The sequence below is a fragment of the Homo sapiens genome, chromosome 12 (genome assembly GCF_000001405.40).
Source record: "Homo sapiens chromosome 12, GRCh38.p14 Primary Assembly".
NCBI classification, from domain to species: Eukaryota; Metazoa; Chordata; class Mammalia; order Primates; family Hominidae; genus Homo; species Homo sapiens.
In genome coordinates this window covers 56,789,620-56,808,952 of record NC_000012.12, presented here as the reverse complement: position 1 = coordinate 56,808,952, position 19,333 = coordinate 56,789,620, and the positions used below count along the sequence as shown (strand labels likewise).

At 46.7% G+C, this 19,333-nt stretch overlaps 1 annotated feature.

Moving 5' to 3' along the window:
* Positions 3,634-4,283: an enhancer, noted in NCBI's record as "H3K4me1 hESC enhancer chr12:57198454-57199103 (GRCh37/hg19 assembly coordinates)". NCBI's record gives its function as "activates a minimal SCP1, AML or CMV promoter by ChIP-STARR-seq in naive H9 embryonic stem cells {active_cell/tissue: H9 hESC(naive)}" and the evidence as "EXISTENCE:reporter gene assay evidence [ECO:0000049][PMID:30033119]".

Here is a 19,333-nt window from a genome sequence, read left to right as displayed (position 1 = left end):
TGAAAGAAAAATGCCAGCCTCTGTCAGCCAGTTAAAAGCAACTAGTGTGGCTGCTGGACTTAAGACACAGAGGACAGGCTCGCTGGGGAGGACACTGTCAATCCCCCATCACCCTCAGGTTTTGGGAATGTTGGCTTTATTCCAACCCGGTTTCCTTTCATGGAGGTCTAGCCACTGGGTGGAAGACAAAGGAGGTTGTGGGGCAACTCAGAGTATCTGGCTGAGGCTTCGCCTCGTTATCCAAAGGCCCCTGGACTAACTCCAGTCCCCGACTGCCCATTAGGGTGTTGCCACTAGAACCTCCCATCTTTCCTATCTTTCTTTCTTTCCCACTCTTTCTTTCTTTCACGGCTGTCAAAGTTCCTATCTCTACTTTATATACAACGTCGAATGTTAAGGATGTTGTTGCAAACCAGAAATATTACTGGGTAGAATAAGCATTTGGCTTAGTCTTCAAAAGTATAAAATGGAAGGTTAAGAGTAGCACAGATGAAGCAAAGTGGGCCTTGGTATCTGTACATAAATTTGTGGTGAAAATGTTCTTGTCATTTCCTTGGTTGCCAATTTAGTGCCAAGAACCTTGAGGCACAGAAAAGAAGCATGGCCCCAGGAAGGAAGCTTTTCTGTAAATGCAAGGGCAAATGGTCCAAGGTCCCATACATGCAGGCCTTTTTTGCCTTGCAGGGTAATCCAAACCTTTGCTGATGTGGTAGGATTGAATCAGCTCACCTCATGGCCATCTCAGGAGAGCCTGCAAAGGGCAATCCCAGGGAAATAGGGAAGCAAACCCCAGAGGTACCTCCAGTGGGGGAATCAACCCCCTCCACTGTTTTCTCTCAAGCTTGGCCCAGCCTAGAAATCCTCATTTTAGGCAGGTCCCAGTCACAACTGCCCCTACAACAGATGCCTGGTGAATATGGCCCCATTAAGGTCCAGGTTCCCTTTTCTCTACAGGACTTAAGGCAAATTAAGGGGGATCTTGGCAAGTTTTTAGACAGCTCTAACAGGTATATAGGGGCTTTCCAGAACTTAACCAAAGTATTTGAGCTCTCCTGGAAGGATGTCATGTTACTTGTTTTTTTTTGAGACAGAGTCTCACTCTGTCACCCAGGCTGGAGTGCAATAGCGTGATCTCAGCTCACTGCAACCTCTGCCTCCCAGATTCAGGCAATGCCTCAGCCTCCTGAGTAGCTGGTATTACAGGTGTCCACCACCATAACCGGCTAATTTTTGTATTTTTAGTAGAGACAGGTTTCACCATGTTGGCCAGGCTGGTCTCAACCTCCTGACCTCAGATGATCTGCCTGCCTTGGCCTCCAAAAGTGCTGGGATTACAAGTGTGAGCCACTGCACCAAGCCTCATGTTACTTTTGAATCAAACCCTGACCACCGCTGAAAAGCAGGCCACCCTGCAAGTGGCAGAGAATTTGGGGAATGAGCCATATATATATATATATATATATATATATATATATATATTTTTTTTTTTTTTTTTTTTTTTTTTTTTTTTAAAGACGGAGTCTCACTCTGTCACCCAGGCTGGAGTGCAGTGGTGCAATCTCAGCTCACTGCAAGCTCCACCTCCCAGGTTCACACCATTCTCCTGCCTCAGCCTCCTGAGTATCTGGGACTACAGGTGCCCACCACCATGCCCGGCTAATTTTTTGTATTTTTAGTAGAGACAGGGTTTCACCATGTTAGCCAGGATGGTCTCGATCTCCTGACCTCATGATCCACCTGCCTCAGCTTCCCAAAGTGCTGGGATTACAGGCGTGAGTCACTGTGCCTGGCCAATGAGCTTTATATCTTATATAGGACCAGGAAAGGGTATGAGACTTATCTGATTGGAAAAATAGCAGTACCATTGGAGGTTGAAAATTGGACCCCAATGATGAAATAGGAGAATAGAAGAGGAAACACTTTCAGGTGTGTATACCGGAGGGCTTATGAAGGACAAGGACTAAGGCCCTGAATTACACCAACCTATTCATGGTAGAATAGGGATTTGATGAGAATCCCACTGGCTTCCTGGAAAGGCTAAGAGGGAGGGGCCTTGGTAAAACACACCTCTCTATCTCCTGATTCAGTAGCAGAATAGCTGGTCCTAGGCACTGACTTTATCACACAGGTGGCCCCTGATGTCAGGAGGGGGCAGCAGAAACGGGCTGTGGGACCAGATGGTACTTTGGAGGGCTTCCTGGTAGGAGCCACGTTGGTCTTTTGCAGTGGGAACTGGGAGGAAGTCCAGAAAAGAGGGGAGATACAGGAAAAAGGCAGAGGCTCTAATAGCTGCTCTGTGGGCTCATGGACCCCAGAGTCCCTGATATGCACCTGTTGACTACTGCAAATGTGGCAGGCCAGGTCATTTTAGGAGGGACTGTCTGGACAGTGTGGGGAGGCCACCTCGACCCTGTCCAGTTTGTGATGAGGACAATTAGAGGGCGGACTATCCCTGGAGACACGGGTCACCCGGTCCAGGGCCGGCCTCCCTTATAGTGCAGCGGGACTGACAGGCTCTGGGGCTCCTCTCCCCAGCTCCGGTTGTTCAGACTACCATTGCCACCCAGGAGCCCCAGGTGATTCTGGGCATCAAGGGAAGGAGGGTTGACCTCCTTCTGGACTCTGGAGCAGGTCTTTCAGTTCTCCTCTTCAATCTAGGCCCTCCTCCTCCTTTGGCACAACCGTGAGGGGCATCTCAGGTCTCCTTCTGCCACTGTCATAGTCCTGTGAATACAGGAAGCTTTTTCTTGCAACAGGTTAGCTTTTTTTCCTTTCAGGAGGCACCTTATTAGGCCAGGTCCCCAATTCCTGGGACTCCCATTCTCTCCCTTGTTTGAGGAGGAACTGGTCCCACAGCTTCACCTGCTTATGATAGGGAGGCAACAGAGGAGCAGCCCCAGCCAGTTGCTAGCTGCAATTTGGTGAGGGCTGCCTGGGACTAATTTAATGGGCCCATACACCCTCTTGAGGCACCTTTTTGTCCCAAGGTTTCTGATAATTTTGGAGATTGTGAACAGGAGTTTCTTTGAGTGAACGGAACTAACAGAAGACTGAAGTAATCTTTTTTGACATTTTGCTTGAACCATTGATGATCCTTCGTTTTGTTTTTCAGAATCAAGGAAGCTTTCCTTTTGAGATATTTGTAGCTTTTGACAGTTGTGAGGGTGAACCAACCAGTGATCTCTGACTGCAGCTCAGAAGAAACAAAAAGGATGGGCCGTCAAACTCCAATGGTCATGCAAATGGAGCCTCGGACAATGGCTCCCTTTTACTGGAGACCCTTATATAGGCCCCTGAGAGAAAACCTGACTGCCATTTTCCCAAAAACAATGCCCCCTGTCAGCATGAAGCAGTTAAGAATGGTCACTGTCCCTATCCTAACGGCAGTTAGATGTACCTCTACAGAGTGGTGATTGATGGCAGTGGTGGGCCATCTAGAGTGGCCGCTGCCATCACACAGGCTGCAGCAGGGAGGTACAGCCAGAGCTGTATACTCCATGCAGCTGGTGGGAGCCTCAGACAAGTGGGAGCCCTGCCCCTTCTGATTTGTTAGGGTGGGAGCTCCCCAGGTGCAGACACAAGTCTGCCCAAGTTATGGCTGCAAACTGGGCCTCCCAAAGCACAGAGCAAGAAGAAGCCCCACCCCCTGGGGCACAGGTTAAGCTGCCCAAGTCATGGCTGCAGACCCAGGCCTCCCTGTGCTCTTGGGGGTGCTGGGAGCAGGGAGGAGCCCTGTCCTCCTAGGCGTGGCTGCAGCCACCCAAGTCGTGACTGCAGAGCATGACCTCCCACTCCACAGAGCAGGACCCCCACCCCCTGGATGCAGCTGCAGACACCCAAACTGTGGCTGTGAACCCAGGCATCCCTGCACTCTTGGAGACCCAGGATGGTCCTCTCCCCCTGCCCTCACAGGCTTGGAAGTGCCTGCTCCTGCCGCCTGGCTTCTCCCTGCTGTCGGTACCCACTCCGATCTAAGAGCAAAGTCATGGTCAAGCCTGAGCTCTGTCACAGCCCAGCCAGGTGTGTACATGCTCAGGGAAGTGTTGACACACCAGCCCCCTGCCACTTCAGCCCGCCTCTGGACCTTGGGTGCCAAAGAGCACAGGAGGGAAGCTGAGGGGGTGATAAGGGCAGTTTGGCACTGGCCTGCAGGTGCCCCTTGGCACGTACAGCCTGGGTGCCATGAATGGCAGCAGGAGGCAGACAGGTTCCTGGGGGGAAGGGAGTGGGTCCCACGTGAGGCCCCACCTTCAGGCCAGGGAGGGCCTGAAGGCTGGGGGCCAGGCTGCTGCTCCCATAGACTGCAGTGGAAACTTGTGGTGTCTTTTCCAGGCCCATCCATGGCTGCCCATGGAACAATCAGTGCTCACCTCCTCCCCTCTGAGGCCCATAAAAGCCCTGGGTTCAGCCAGAGCTGAGCAGATGTTGGGATGACCTGCCTGCAGACAAAAGCTACTCTCTCTGCTGATACCTGAACACTTGTCAGGATGAATTGCCTAGCAGAGAGGAGCTACCCTCTCTGCTAGGAGCTGAACACTCATCAAGACACCCTGGCTGCAGAAAGTAGCTGCCCCCTGCAGGTTTCCTCTGAGCTGTTCTATCACTCAATAAAGCTCCCCTTCATCTTACTCACTCTCCTCTTTTCTGCCTACCTCATTCTTCCTGGTCACAGGACAAGAACTCAGGACCCACTGAATGGCAAGGATAAAAGAGCTGTAACACAAACAGGGCTGAGACATGCCCCTTGCTTGCCTCATTGTGGGCAAAGAGAAGAAAAGAAGAGCTGCAGCCCTTTGGGGAACCCAGACCTGGGAGTTCCCCAGACCAGGGCTGTGACTCCTATTTTGGGGCCCTGTGGTTCCTGGCATCTCCGAGCTTCTGGGTGCCAATGTGTCCTCCAGTGCCAGCCGTAGAAGCTGCTTGCAGTGTGCCTGGTCTAGCTGCAGCCTCACAGAGAGCCAGAGCCCATGCCAGCACCTGGAGCTGCCCGGCCCACTGCGGCAGCTGGTACGTCTGACTGTGCACAGTGGCCGGATCCCACACTCACTCACACACTCCTCACTGTTCCATGCCTGACTCACCCTTGGCAGGCATGGGTCCCAGGCCAGTAGGGTGAGCCAAACACAGCCTGCCAGGCTGAGTAGGTGAAACAAGCCCAGTGGGCCCGAGCAAAACTCGGGCACAGGGGCCACCAGCCACAGAGGTTCCTGGCTAGAAAAACAACACCCCAAAGATCCCATAATACAATGAGATACCATCTCACACCAGTCAGAATGACTATTATTAAAAAGTCAAAAAATACCAGATGCTGGCGAGGTTGCCAAGAAAAAGGAATGCTTATACACTGCTGGTTGGAATGTAAATTAGCTCAACCATCGTGGAAAACAGTAAGGCAATTCCTCAAAGAACTGAATTCAGAACTACCATTCAACCCAGCAATCTCATTACTGGGTATATACCCAGAGGAATATAAATCATTCCACCATAAAGACACATGCACATTAATGTTCACTGCAGCACTACTCACAATAGCAAAGACATGGATTCCACCTAAATACCCATCAATGGTGGACTGGATAAAGAAAATGTGGTACATATACACCATGAAATTCTATGCAGCTGTAAAAAAGAACGAGATGATGTCCTTTGCAGGAACATGAATGAAGCTGGAAGTCATTATCCCTAGCAAACTAACACAGGAACAGAAAACCAAATACTGCATGTTCTCACATATAAGTGGGAGCTAAATAATGAGAACACATGGGCACAAAGAGGGGAATAACAGACACTGGGGCCTGCTTGAGGGACGCAGGAGGGAGGAAGAAAGAGAATCAGGAAAAATAGCTATCAGGTACTATGCTTAGTGTACTTGGGTAACAAAATGGTCTGTACACCAAACACCCATGACATGCGTTTGCCTGTATTAACAAACCTGCACATGTACCCCAGCCTGAACTAAAATAAAAGTTAAAAGTAAGCTGGGCATGGTAGCTCATGCCTGTAATCCTAGCATTTTGGGAGGTCCAGGCAAGTTAATTGCTTGAGCCCAGGAATTTGGGGCCAGCCTAGGTAACATGGTGAAACCCCATCTCTACAAAAAATACAAAAAGTTGCCGGGTGTGGTGGTGTGTGCCTGTAGTTCCAACAACTTTGGGGGCTGAAGCAGGGGGATTGCTTGAACCTGGGAGGTCAAGGCTACAGTGAGCACTGAGCTGAGACTACACCACTGCACTCCAGTCTGGGTGACAAGATGAGACCCTGTCTCAAAAAAAAGAAAAGAAAAAAAGTTTAATTTTTAAAAAGTTAAAAATAAATAAATACATTTTAAAAATAATCTCTCCCTCACAAAGCATCAGAAAAACAGACTTTACACTTCACATAATTTTATATTTTCTGTGTTTGCTTCATTCAGCAAATATTTATTGAATAACTACTAGGTACAAGATCTTGTATCTAGGTTAAAATTTTATTGACACATTTATTCATTTCTTCCCAAGGACTAAGGTCTTTCGTAATGCCGATGCCCTCCAAACATTCTACACTTTACTTAGATCAGTTGGCAGGATTAAAAGGTCTTCCTGTTAATAATCAGCTTGAAAAAAATTCTTTAAAACAGTGTTTGGCCACAAGAAACTTCCCAGCAATATCCATTACCCTCAAAATTAGCGCAATCTGGTTCCACTTTGTATAATAAAATAATGTGTTGTTTTTCAATTGCTATTGACCCCAGGTTGCAAGTTATATAAACTGAGTGTGCCCAGGTGAACCAAGAATGCAACCATGGGCAGCATCTAAATGCCTGAACCAAGGAAAGGGGATGGAATTAAGAAGTCGACACCAGGCCAGGCAGAGTAGCTCACACCTGTAATGCCAGTGCTTTGGGAGGCCGAGGTGTGAAGATTTCTTGAGGCCATGAATTTGAGACCAACCTAGGCAACACAGCAAGACCCTATCTCAACAAAAAAAGAAAAAAAAAGCAAGAGGACACTTCATGGCATGATCCATGATCCAATCAGATTGAACCCTGGCATCATCCCATGGCATGATCCAATCAGATCATGCCTCCTGGCATTACTGCATTGCAAGATCCAATCAGATCATGCCTCATTACCATCTTCAGACTCCAGCTTGAAAGACAAATTTGAACATTGCCTCCTGTCTTGTGGCCAGTCAATTTGCAATAAAGCTTTGTTTTCTCAAAAGCTGGTGCAATAGTATTGGCTTTTATGCATATCAGGCAGCAAGCCATTTCTTGCTAGGTAACAATGAGAACATAGAAAAGCAGATTTAAATTACTAGTCCCTATTGAAAATATATAGTTTATTTTTTAATTCAACAAGTGCTTTTTACTGTTTTATATAAGGTATAGTAATATGTGTGTAAAGTAGTTCCTATAGAGATTACACAGACCATGACATTTTATTTTTATTATTAAATATTTGAAGAATACAAAATATTATAGACAATATTGATTATCACCTATACTGATGTATCTAACCCATAAGGTGATGAAATAATCTGTACAACAAAACCCCCTGACATGAGTTTACCTATATAACAAACCTGCACATGTACCCCTGAACCTAAAAGTTAAAAAAAAAAAAAAAAAAAGGCCAGCGTGGTGGCTCATGCCTGTAATCCCAGCACTTTGGGAGGCCAAGGCAGGAGTATCACTTGAGGTCAGGAGTTCGAGACTTCGAACTAAAAATACAAAATTAAAATACAAAAATTAGCCAGATGTGGTGGCATGTGCCTATAGTCCCAGATCCTCAGGAGCCTGAGGCAGGAGGATCGCTTGAACCGAGAAGGCGGAGGTTGCAGTGAGCCAAGATCACACCACTGCACTCCAGCCTGGGTGACAGAGAAAGACTCCGTCTCAAAAAAATACATTACTTCAGTTAACATCTCCAATATCCCTCCTCAATCCCCAAAGGTAACTACTGCCAACAATTTGATGTTTATCAGTCTCTCATTCTCAAAAATATTTTAGTACTTTTACTATATACATATATATCCATAAACAATATGTAGCACTTCCTGCAAGTTTTAACTTTTTTTTTTTTGAGATGGAGTTTTGGTCTGTCGCCCAGGCTAGAGTGCAGTGGCATGATCTCAACTCACTGCAACCTCCCCGTCCCAGGTTCAGAGGATCCTCCTGCGTCAGCCTCCCAAATAGCTGGGATTACAGGCACACCAGCATGCCCAGCTAATTTTTGTATTTTTAGTAGAGACAAGGTTTCACCATGTTGGTCAGGTTGGTCTCGAACTCCTGACCACAAGTGATCCACCCACCTAGGCCTCCGAAAGTGCTGGGATTACAGGGGTGAGCCACCACACCCAGCCAAATTTTAACATTTTAAGCAAAATGTCATACCACTATTCACATGTTCTGCAACTTACTTTTTCATTCATTATGTTATTAACTTTACCCACATTGATAAATGCAAATCAACCTCATTCATGTTAACCATCATATAAAAAGGATACATGGATGAACAGGATGGATAGATAATAGTTAGATGTAAACAGACCAAAGGACCAACTGTTGCATGAACATACTACAAGTTACTCATTCTCCTATGAATGGGCATATACATTGTTTTCAGTTTATTATGATTCAAATAGAGCAATGAAGATTCATGTACAAGTCTTCTTGTGTACATGTACATCTACCACCTGTATCTGAGATTGCAATTATTTGGTCATAGGGCAAACATGTTTCAAGTTTAACAGATATTTTCCGAATTGCTTACAGAAGTGGTTGTACAAATTCACACTTGCCCCAGAAGTGTTTAAGCTGCACTTTGGTTTAGAGCTTTATTCATGGTATTGGCTGACTTTTTTTTGCCACTATGAATAATGTAAAATTGTATCTCACTGTGGTTTTACTTTGCATTTACCTGACTACTAGTGAAAATTAGCATATTTTTATGTTTACTGGCCATTCTGACTTTCTGTTCGTCTGTCCAATTTTCTATGAAGATTTGTTTTGCTAATAAATGTATACAAATTCTATTTCTTTTTTTTAAATTATATGTTGTTACTGTAGTTTTTTTGGGTTTTTTTGTTTTGTGTTGTTTTGTTTTTTACTTTAAGTTCTGGGATACATGTGCTGAAAGTGCAGGTTTGTTACATAGGTATACATGTGCCATGGTGGTTCGCTGCATCTATCAACATATCATCTAGGTTTTAAGCCCCATATGAATTAGGTATTTGTCCTAATGCTCTCCCTTCCCTTGCCCCCCACACCCAACAGGCCCCAGTGTATGATGTTCCCTTCCCCGTGTCCATGAGCTCTCGTCGTTCAACTCCCACTTATGAATAAGAACATATGGTGTTTGGTTTTCTGTTCCTGTGTTTGTTTGCTGAGGATGATGGTTTCCAGCTTCATCCATGTCCCTGCAAAGGACGTGAAATTCTTTTTTATGGCTGCATAGTATTCCGTGGTATATATGTGTCACATTTTCTTTATCCAGTCTATCATTGGTGGGCATTTGGGTTTGTTCCAAGTCTTTACTATTGTAAATAGTGCTGCAATAAGCATACGTGTGCATGTCTTTATAGTAGAATGATTTATAATCCTTTGGGACCCAGTAATGGGATTGCTGGGTCAAATGGTATTTCTGGTTCTAGATCCTTGAGGAATCACCACACTGACTTCCACAATAGTTGAACTAATTTACACTGCCACCAACAGTGTAAAAGCGTTCCTATTTCTCTGCATCCTCTCCAGCATCTGTTTCCAGACTTTTCAATGATCGCCATTCTAAATGGTGTGAGATGGTATCTCATTGTGGTTTTGATTTGCATTTCTCTAATGACCAGTGATGATGAGGTTTTGTTCATATGTTTATTGGCCGCATAAATGTCTTCTTTTGAGAAGTGTCTGTTCATATCTTTTGCCCACTTTTTGATTGAGTTTTTTTTCTTTTGTTTAAGTAAATTTGTTTAAGTTCCTTGTAGATTCTGGATATTAGACCTTTGTCAAATGGATAGTTTGCAAAAATTTTCTCCCATTCTGTAGGCTGCCTGTTCACTCTGATGATAGTTTCTTTTGCTGAGCAGGAGCTCTTTAGTTTAATTAGATCCCATTTGTCAATTTTGGCTTTTGTTGCAATTGTTTTTGGTGTTTTAGTCATGAAGTCTTTACCCATGCCTATGTCCTGAATGGTGTTGCCTAGGTTTTCTTCTAGGGTTTTTATGGTTTTAGGTTTTACATTTAAGTCTTTATTTATCTTGAGTTAATTTTTGTATAAGGTGTAAGGCAGGGGTCCAGTTTCAGTTTTCTGTGTATGGCTAGAAATGCATATGGCCAGTTTTCCCAGCACCATTTATTAAATAGGGAATCCTTTCCCCATTGCTTGTTTTTGTCACTTTGTCAAAGATCAGATGGTTGTAGATGTGTGGTGTTATTTCTGAGGCCTCTGTTCTGTTCCATTGGTCTATATATCTGTTTTGGTGCCAGTACCATGCTGTTTTGGTTACTGTAGCCTTGTAGTATAATTTGAAGTCAGGTAGCGTTATGCCTCCAGCTTTGTTCTTTTTGAGACAGAGTTTCTCTCTTGTTGCCAAGGCTAGAGTGCAATGGGGCAATCTCGGCTCACTGCAACCTCCGCCTCCCAGGTTCAAGTGATTCTCCTGCCTCACCCCCCCAAGTAGCTGGGATTACAGGCATGAGCCACCACATCTGGCTAATTTTTTGTATTTAGTAGAGATGGGGTTTTGCCATGTTGGCCAGGCTGGTCTTGAACTCCTGACTTCAGGTGATCTACCTCCTTCAGCCTCCCAAAGTGCTGGGATTACAGGTGTACACCGCCATACCCGGCCTACAATTTCTATTTTTTTGTTTTTGTTGTTTTTCAGTTTTTTTAGACGAAGTCTTGCTCTGTCGCCCAGGCTGGAGTGCAGTGGTGCAATCTTGGATCACTGCAAGCTCCACCTCCCGGGTTCACGCCATTCTCCTGCCTCAACCTCCCTAGTAGCTGGGACTACAGGCGCTTGCCACCACACCTGGCTAATTTTTTGTCTTTTTAGTAGAGACAGGGTTTCACCATGTTAGCCAGGATGGTCTCTATCCCCTGACCTCGTGATCCGCCCTCCTCAGCCTCCCCAACATGCTAGGATTACAGGCGTGAGTCACTGCGCCTGGCCCAAATTCTTTTTCTTAACAATAAAACCTTGTGGTTATCTATGGTGCAAATATATTGCCCAGCTGGTGGCTTGTCTTTTTGCTCTAAGTTAAGGGGTATTTTGATGTAGAGAAGTTCTTAATTTTGGTCAAATTTAACAATCTTCCTTTATGATTAAGTTTTGTGTACCTTATTTCAAGAGGCTTCCCTGTTCTAAAGACATAAATATATTCTCAATGTTTTATTTTAAATCTTTTAAAGTTTTGGTTTTCACATTTAGGTATTTATTGCATTGGGATTTGTTTTTGTGCCTGGTATGGGATAAGTATCTAATTTTATAATTCTCTGTTTTTTAAAAGTTGTCCTCTCACCATTTATTGGGTCATTTCCCCACCACCTCATTTTCCTCCCACTGTCATATCAAGTTTTCATGTATGTCCATTCTATTCTTTTTTTTTTTTTTTCTCGAGACAGAATCTCACTCTGTTGCCCAGGCTGGAGTGCAATAGCACAATCTTGGTTCACTGTAACCTCCACCTCCCAGGTTCAAGCAATTCTCGTGCCTCAGACACCTGAGTAGCTGGGATTAAAGGTGTGTGCCACCACACCCAGCTAATTTTTGTATTTTTCGTAGAGACACGGTTTCACCATGTTGGCCAGGCTGGTCTCAAACTCCCGACCTCAGGTGATCGGCCACCTTGGCCTCCCAAAGGGTTGGGATTACAGGCATGAGTCACTGCACCCGGCCTTTCCACTCTATTGCTTACATCTATTTGTCTATGTTTACCTTGCACCTATTTGTTTATGTTACTACAGTTTTACTGCAAGTCTTAATGTTTGGGGAGGCAAGTTTCCCTCACCTTGTTCTTCAAAATTGTCTTGGTTCTGTTTGCCCTTTTGCTCTCCCAATTAAATTTGAAAATCACCTTCTCAAATTGCAAAAAAAAAAAAAGCTATTGGGATTTTGATTGATTGAATTGGAGCCATACTAAATTTATAAATTATTTTATATATCTTTTTATGATATTGAGACTCCTTATTCATGGGTATTGTATATGTTTACACTTATTTAGGCCTTAATGTCTTCAATAAAATTTTATACTTTTCTGTTTTGTTTGACACCAAGTCTTGCTCTGTCGCCCAGGCTGGAATGCAATGGCGCAATCTCAGCTCACTGCAACCTCCACCTCCCAGGTTCAAGCAGTTTTCCTGTCTCCACCTCCCAAGTAGCTGGGATTACAGGCATGCACCACCATGCCTGGCTAACTTTTGTATTTTTAGTAGAGACGGGGTTTCACCATGTTGGCCAGGCTGGTCTCGAACTCAAATGATCTGCCCGCCTCAGCCTCCGAAAGTGCTGGGATTACAGGCATGAGCCACCACGCCCGGCCAGTTTTATACTTTTCTACAGGAAGGTATTGAGAGGTGACAGCGTGCTGGCAGTCCTCAGAGCCCTCACTTGCTCTCGGCACCTCCCCTGCCTGGGCTCCCACTTTGGTGGCATTTGAGGAGCCCTTCAGTCCCCCACTGCACTGTGGGAGCCCCTTTCTGGGCTGGCCAAGGCCAGAGCCCACTCCCTCAGCTTGCAGGGAGGTGTGGAGGGAGAGACACGAGCGGTAACCGGGGCTGTGTGCGGCACTTGCAGGCCAGCTGAAGTTCTGGGTGGGCGTGGGCTTGGTGGGCCCCGCACTCGGAGCAGCCAGGCAGCCCTGCTGGCCCCGGGCAATGGGGGACTTAGCACCCGGGCCAGTGGCTGTGGAGGGTGTACTGGGTCCCCCAGCAGTGCCGGCCCATCGGCGCTGCGCTCGATTTCTCGCCAGGCCTTGGCTGCCTTCCCATGGGACAGGGCTTGGGACCTGCAGCCCGCCATGCCTGAGCCTCCCACCCCCTCCGTGGGCTCCTGTGCGGCCGGAGCCTCCCCGACGAGCGCCACCCCCTGCTCCACGGCGCCCAGTCCCATCGACCACCCAAGGGCTGAGGAATGCGAGCGCACGGCGCAGTACTGGCAGGCAGCTCCACCTGCAGCCCCGGTGCGGGATCCACTAGGTGAAGCCAGCTGGGCTCCTGAGTCTGGTGGGGACGTGGAGAGTCTTTATATCTAGCTCAGGGATTGTAAATACACCAATCAGCACCATGTGTTTAGCTCAAGGTTTGTGAGTGCACCAATCGACACTCCGTATCTAGCTGCTCTGGTGAGGACGTGGAGAACCTTTATGTCTAGCTCAAGGATTGTAAATACACCAATCGGCACTCTGTATCTAGCTAAAGGTTTGTAAACACACCAATCAGCACCCTGTGTTTAGCTCAAGGTTTGTGAGTGCACCAATCGACACTCTGTATCTAGCTGCTCTGGTGGGGCCTTGGAGAACCTGTGTGTGGAAACTCTGTATCTAACTAATCTGATGGGGACGTGGAGAACTTTTGTATCTAGCTCAGGGATTGTAAACACACCAATCAGCGCCCTGACAAAACAGGCCACTCGGCTCTATCAATCAGCAGGATGTGGGTGGGGCCAGATAAGAGAATAAAAGCAGGCTGCCTGAGCCAGCATTGGCAACCTGCTCGGGTCACGTTCCACACAGTGGAAGCTTTGTTCTTTCACTCTTTGCAATAAATCTTGCTACCGCTCACTCTTTAGGTCCATACTGCTTTTATGAGCTGTAACACTCACCTCGAAGATCTGCAGCTTCACTCCTGAGCCCAGCAAGACCACGAGCCCACCGGGAGGAACGAACAACTCCAGACGCGCTACCTTAAGAGCTGTAACACTCACTGTGAAGGTCTGCGGCTTCACTCCTGAGCCAGCGAGACCACGAACCCACCAGAAGGAAGAAACTCCGAACACATCTGAACATCAGAAGGGACAGACTCCAGACGCGCCACCTTAAGAGCTGTAACACTCACCGCGAGGGTCCGCGGCTTCATTCTTGAAGTCAGTGAGACCAAGAACCCACTAATTCCGGACACAGTATTATACAAATTCTGTCAGATTTATTCCTAGGTACCTTATATTTTTGTTGTTGCTATTGCAAATTATAACATTTTAAAAATTAGTTTCTATATTATGTCTGAGATTTGCTTCAAGACATAGTGATAGAAATGGTTTATAACTAATTGAATAAAACAAGAATTAATTAGCCCATTCTTTTCTGCTGGAGTGCAGTGGCGCAATCTCAGCTCACTGCAACATCTCCCTCCCAGGTTCAAGCGATTCTTGTGCCTCAGCCTACCAAGTAGCTGGGATCGCAGGTGCACACCATGATGCCCGGCTAATTTTTATATTTTTAGTAGAGATGGGGTTTTGCCACGTTGGCCAGGCTGGTCTTGAACTCCTGACCTCAGGTGATCCATCCCCACCTCGGCCTCTCAAAAGTGCTGGGATTACAGGCGTGAGCCACTGCGCCCAGCCAATTAGTCCATTCTTAAATAAAAAATAAAGGAGATAGACATGTCACCTTTTAAACATAGGTGGAATGATGAAGTTGGAAATCACTATTTGCAACCATCGTAGTAATAACTGATTTAGATAAGAATCATTAGTAATTCTAAAAATTACTTGTTAAAGTTTGATGAGGAACAGGACATTTATACAATCTCAAAATAGCCTCACAAATTACTCATTAATTACAAAGGAAAAAATGTTAACTTTGCAGTGGAGAAGCATGGCAGACTCTAAGCAAGGATTCACAATTAACACCAATAATGAGATAAACACATCTATGCTACTGACGTGATGCAGTGAGAGGGACACAATATCACTTCTGTGGCATTTCTGCCAAAATGCATATCCTGGATCTAATCATGAGGACACAGCATACAATCCAACTTGGGGTCGCTTTACAAAATAACTGGCCCACACTCTTTAAAAATGTCAGAAATGTGAAAGACAGAATTGTGAAAAAGAAATTAAACTATTCAAAATTAAGTGAGAACAGGAACATGACAATTGAATGCAAAGTAAGATGCTGCATTTGATCCTGGGGAAAAAATTTAATTGCTATATAGAACATTTTTCAAACAACTGGCAGAATTTATATAAGAACTAAAGATTAGATAATGGTATTACATCAAAGCAGGGTGACCAGATATCTCGATTTACCTAGGACAGTACTCATTTATATTTGTTATCCCTGTGTAAATTTTTTTTAATTTTTTGTGTTCATACATAATAGATGTACTTATTTTGGGGATAACTTGATACATTCATATAATGTGTAAAGATAAAATCAGGGTTCCGTGTAAATGATTAATAGTGCCTCCTGGCCAGGCACGGTGGCTCACACCTGTAATCCCAGCACTTTGGGAGTTTGAGGCGGATGGATCACTTGAGGTCAGGAGTTTGAGACCAGCCTGGCCAACATGGTGAAACCTTGTCTCTATGAAAAATACAAAAATTAGCCGGGCATGGTGGCACACGCCTGTGATCCCAGATACTCAGGAGGCTGAGGCACAGGAATCACGTGAACCCAAGAGATGGAGGTTGCAGCGAGCCGAGATTGCGCCACTGCACTCCAGCCTGGGTAACAGAGCAAGACTCTGACTCAAAAAATAAATAAATAAAAGTGCCTCCTTTCACTCTCAAAAGTAACCCATATAGAGGTCACCCATATAGGGGAAAGTCTGCTGTGGGGATTTCTGAGAAATCTTTTGTTCTCCTCATAGAAGATGATAGATGCAGACATCACCACCATTCTCCCTTATACCATCATTCTCTTTTGTGTGAAAGTTGCCAGAATCAAAATGGAGTCACTAATGTTTAAAGAAAGAAGAGCCCTGACAAATCAAGCCATAGAAGGCCATGAAGAGAAGGTTCTTTATGCTTGTATGCCTCACAAAAAAGACTCTGGAAAAATCATATCCTTGCACAGAAGCCACCAGAAATTTCCATAAAAAACACTGCAAGAACATCTGCCCCAGAACTGCCTGTCCAACCTGGACTGACATCATCCTTGTTATTGATCTTTGTAGCCAAATATAATTATTTTAAAACAATTGTGCAATTTCCCTCTTTTCTTTAAAAACCTTTGTCTTCCTTTACCTCCCTGAATATGCACGTAGTTTACTATGACGGGTATATTCTCATTGCAATACTCTATTCCCAAATAAATGTCTTTTTCTTTCAGAGAGCCTCCCTTTGTTATTTAGGTTGACTTATATGGTGTCACTTGAAAGTGATGTCTGGATCCGCAGCAACCATCTTACAACCTTGAAGTGACAAGCTGGAAGAAAAGGCCAGAAGATGCACATAGAGTTTAATCCTGACAGAGATGAGTTACTGAAGCAATGCCAGTGACCTCCTATCCGCTAATTTACTATTACCTAACAAACTTTTTTCTTTTTTTTTTTTTGAGACAGGGTCTTGCTCTGTCACCCAGGCTGGAGTGCAGTGTTGTGATCTCAGCTCACTGCAAACTCCATCTCCCAGGTTCAAGCGATTCTCATGCATCAGCCTCCTGATTAGCTGGGATTACAGGTGTGTACCACCACCCCTGGCTAATTTTTTTGTTTTGTTGTTGTTGTTGTTGAGACGAAGTCTCACTCTGTCACCCAGGCTGGAGTGCTGTGGCACGATCTCAGCTCACTGCAACCTCTGCCTCCCAGGTTCAAGTGATTCTCCTGCCTCAGCCTCCCAAGCAGCTAGATTACAGGCACCTGCCACCATGCCTGGTTAATTTTTGTAGTTTTAGTGGAGACGGGGTTTCACCTTGTTGGCCATACTGTTCTCGAACTCCTGACCTAGTGATCCGCCCACCTCGGCCTCCCAAAGTGCTGGGATTACAGGAGTGAGCCACCGCACCTGGCCAATTTTCGTATTTTTAGTAGAGACAGGGTTTGCCATGTTGGCCAAGCTGGTCTCAAACTCCTGACCACAGGTAATCCACCCCCACCTCAGCATCCCAAAGTGGTAGATTACAGGCGTGAGCCACCGTGCCTGGCCTAAGAAAACAAACTCTTACTTAAGTCATGCTATTTGAAGCCCGTTCTCCCACTTATGCACCAAACTGAATCCTCTCTCAACCTCCTTGCCATCATTTTAGCAATTCTCCAATCTCTCTCCTACATCATGACTTGTACTAAGTACCCAGTACAATAACTGAATAGAAGAGCTACCCCTATGTCCATCATTGTGAAGTTTTGGAACACCTGCAATAAAAGATAAAGATTCCAAATAAAATAAACATTTATGTACTTATCTTCTAAATAGAGCCTAAAACCTTCCATAGAATAGGGACAAAAAGGAACAAAGGAACAAGAATCAGAATGGCATTAAGGTTCTTAATGGATACGATAAGAAAGTGAAGCAATGTCTTTAAAATCCTGAAAGAAAATTATTTTCAACCCTAGAAGTCCATGCTCAGCTAATCTATTATAAGAACAGAGACCTTTTCTCTTTTTTTTTTTTTTTTGAGACGGAGTCTCACCCTCTCACTCAGCCTGGAGTGCAGTGGTGCGATCTCGGCTCACTGCAACCTCCACCTCCCGGGCTCAAGCGATTCTCCTGCCTCAGCCTCCAGAGTAGCTGGATTTCAGGTGCCCACCACTACACCCAGCTAATTTTTGTATTTTTAGTAAGATGAGGTTTCACCATGTTGGTCAGGCTGGTCTCGAACTCCTAACTGCAGGTGATCCACCCAGCTTGGCCTCCCAAAGTGCTGGGATTACAGGCGTGAGCCACCATGACTGGCCAACAGAGCACGCCTGGCCAACAGAGATCTTTTTTTTTTTTTTTTTGAGACAGAGTCTCACTCTGTCGCCCAGGCTGGAGTGCCGCGGCGCGATCTTGGCTCACTGCAATCTCCACCTCCCGGGTTCACGCCATTCTCCTGCCTCAGCCTCCCAAGCAGCTGGGACTACAGGCGCCTGCCACCACACCCGGCTAACTTTTTGTATTTTTAGTAGAGACGGGGGTTTCACTGTGTTAGCCAGGATGGTCTCGATCTCCTGACCTCGTGATCCGCCCTCCTCAGCCTCCCAAAGTGCTGGGATTACAGCTGTGAGCCACCGCGCCCGGCCAACAGAGACCTTTTTAAACATGCAAAGACTTAGCTAGTAAGAATGAGTTCTGTTAAAATAAAGGAGAAAACCAAGAGGCCATATGCTCCAGGAAGCAGGATTTCAGACAGCAGGAAAGAGATGTAGGGAAGTCCTAGAAAAATAATTGAGTAGCAGAACCAGAGAACAGCCAGCCCACACAGAAACAGGAGGAGAAAGCAGTGAGACCTCTCCCTCTCCCTCTCCCTCTCCCTCTCCCTTCCCACAGTCTCCCTCTCCCTCTCTTTCCATGGTCTCCCTCTGATGCCAAGCTGAAGCTGGACTGTACTGCTGCCATCTTGGCTCACTGCAACCTCCCTGCCTGATTCTCCTGCCTCAGCCTGCCAAGTGCCTGCGATTGCAGGCGGGCGCCGCCACGCCTGATTGCTTTTCATATTTTTTTGGTGGAGATGGGGTTTCGCTGTGTTGGCCGGGCTGGTCTCCAGGTCCTAACCGCGAGTGATCCGCCAGCCTCGGCCTCCCAAGGTGCCGGGATTGCAGACGGAGTCTCGTTCACTCAGTGCTCAATGATGCCCAGGCTGGAGTGCAGTGGCGTGATCTCGGCTCGCTGCAACCTCCACCTCCCAGCCGCCTGCCTTGGCCTCCCAAAGTGCCGAGATTGCAGCCTCTGCCTGGCCGCCACCCCGTCTGGGAAGTGAGGAGCGTCTCTGCCTGGCCGCCCATCGTCTGGGATGTGAGGAGCCCCTCTGCCTGGCTGCCCAGTCTGGAAAGTGAGGTGCGCCTCTTCCCGGCCGCCATCCCATCTAGGAAGTGAGGAGCGTCTCTGCCCTGCCGCCCATCGTCCGAGATGTGGGGAGCACCTCTGCCCCGCCACCCCGTCTGGGATGTGAGGAGCACCTCTGCCCGGCGGCGACCCTGTCTGGGAGGTGAGGAGCGTCTCTGCCCGGCCGCCCCGTCTGAGAAGTGAGGAGCCCCTCCGCCCGGCAGCCGCCCCGTCTGAGAAGTGAGGAGCCCCTCCGCCCAGCAGCCACCCCGTCTGGGAAGTGAGGAGCATCTCCGCCCGGCAGCCACCCCATCCAGGAGGGAGGTGGGGGGTCAGCCCCCGCCCGGCCTGCCGCCCCGTCCGGGAGGGAGGTGGGGGGGGCGCCTCCGCCCGGCCAGCCGCCCCGTCCGGGAGGTGAGGGGTGCCTCTGCCCGGCCGCCCCTACTGG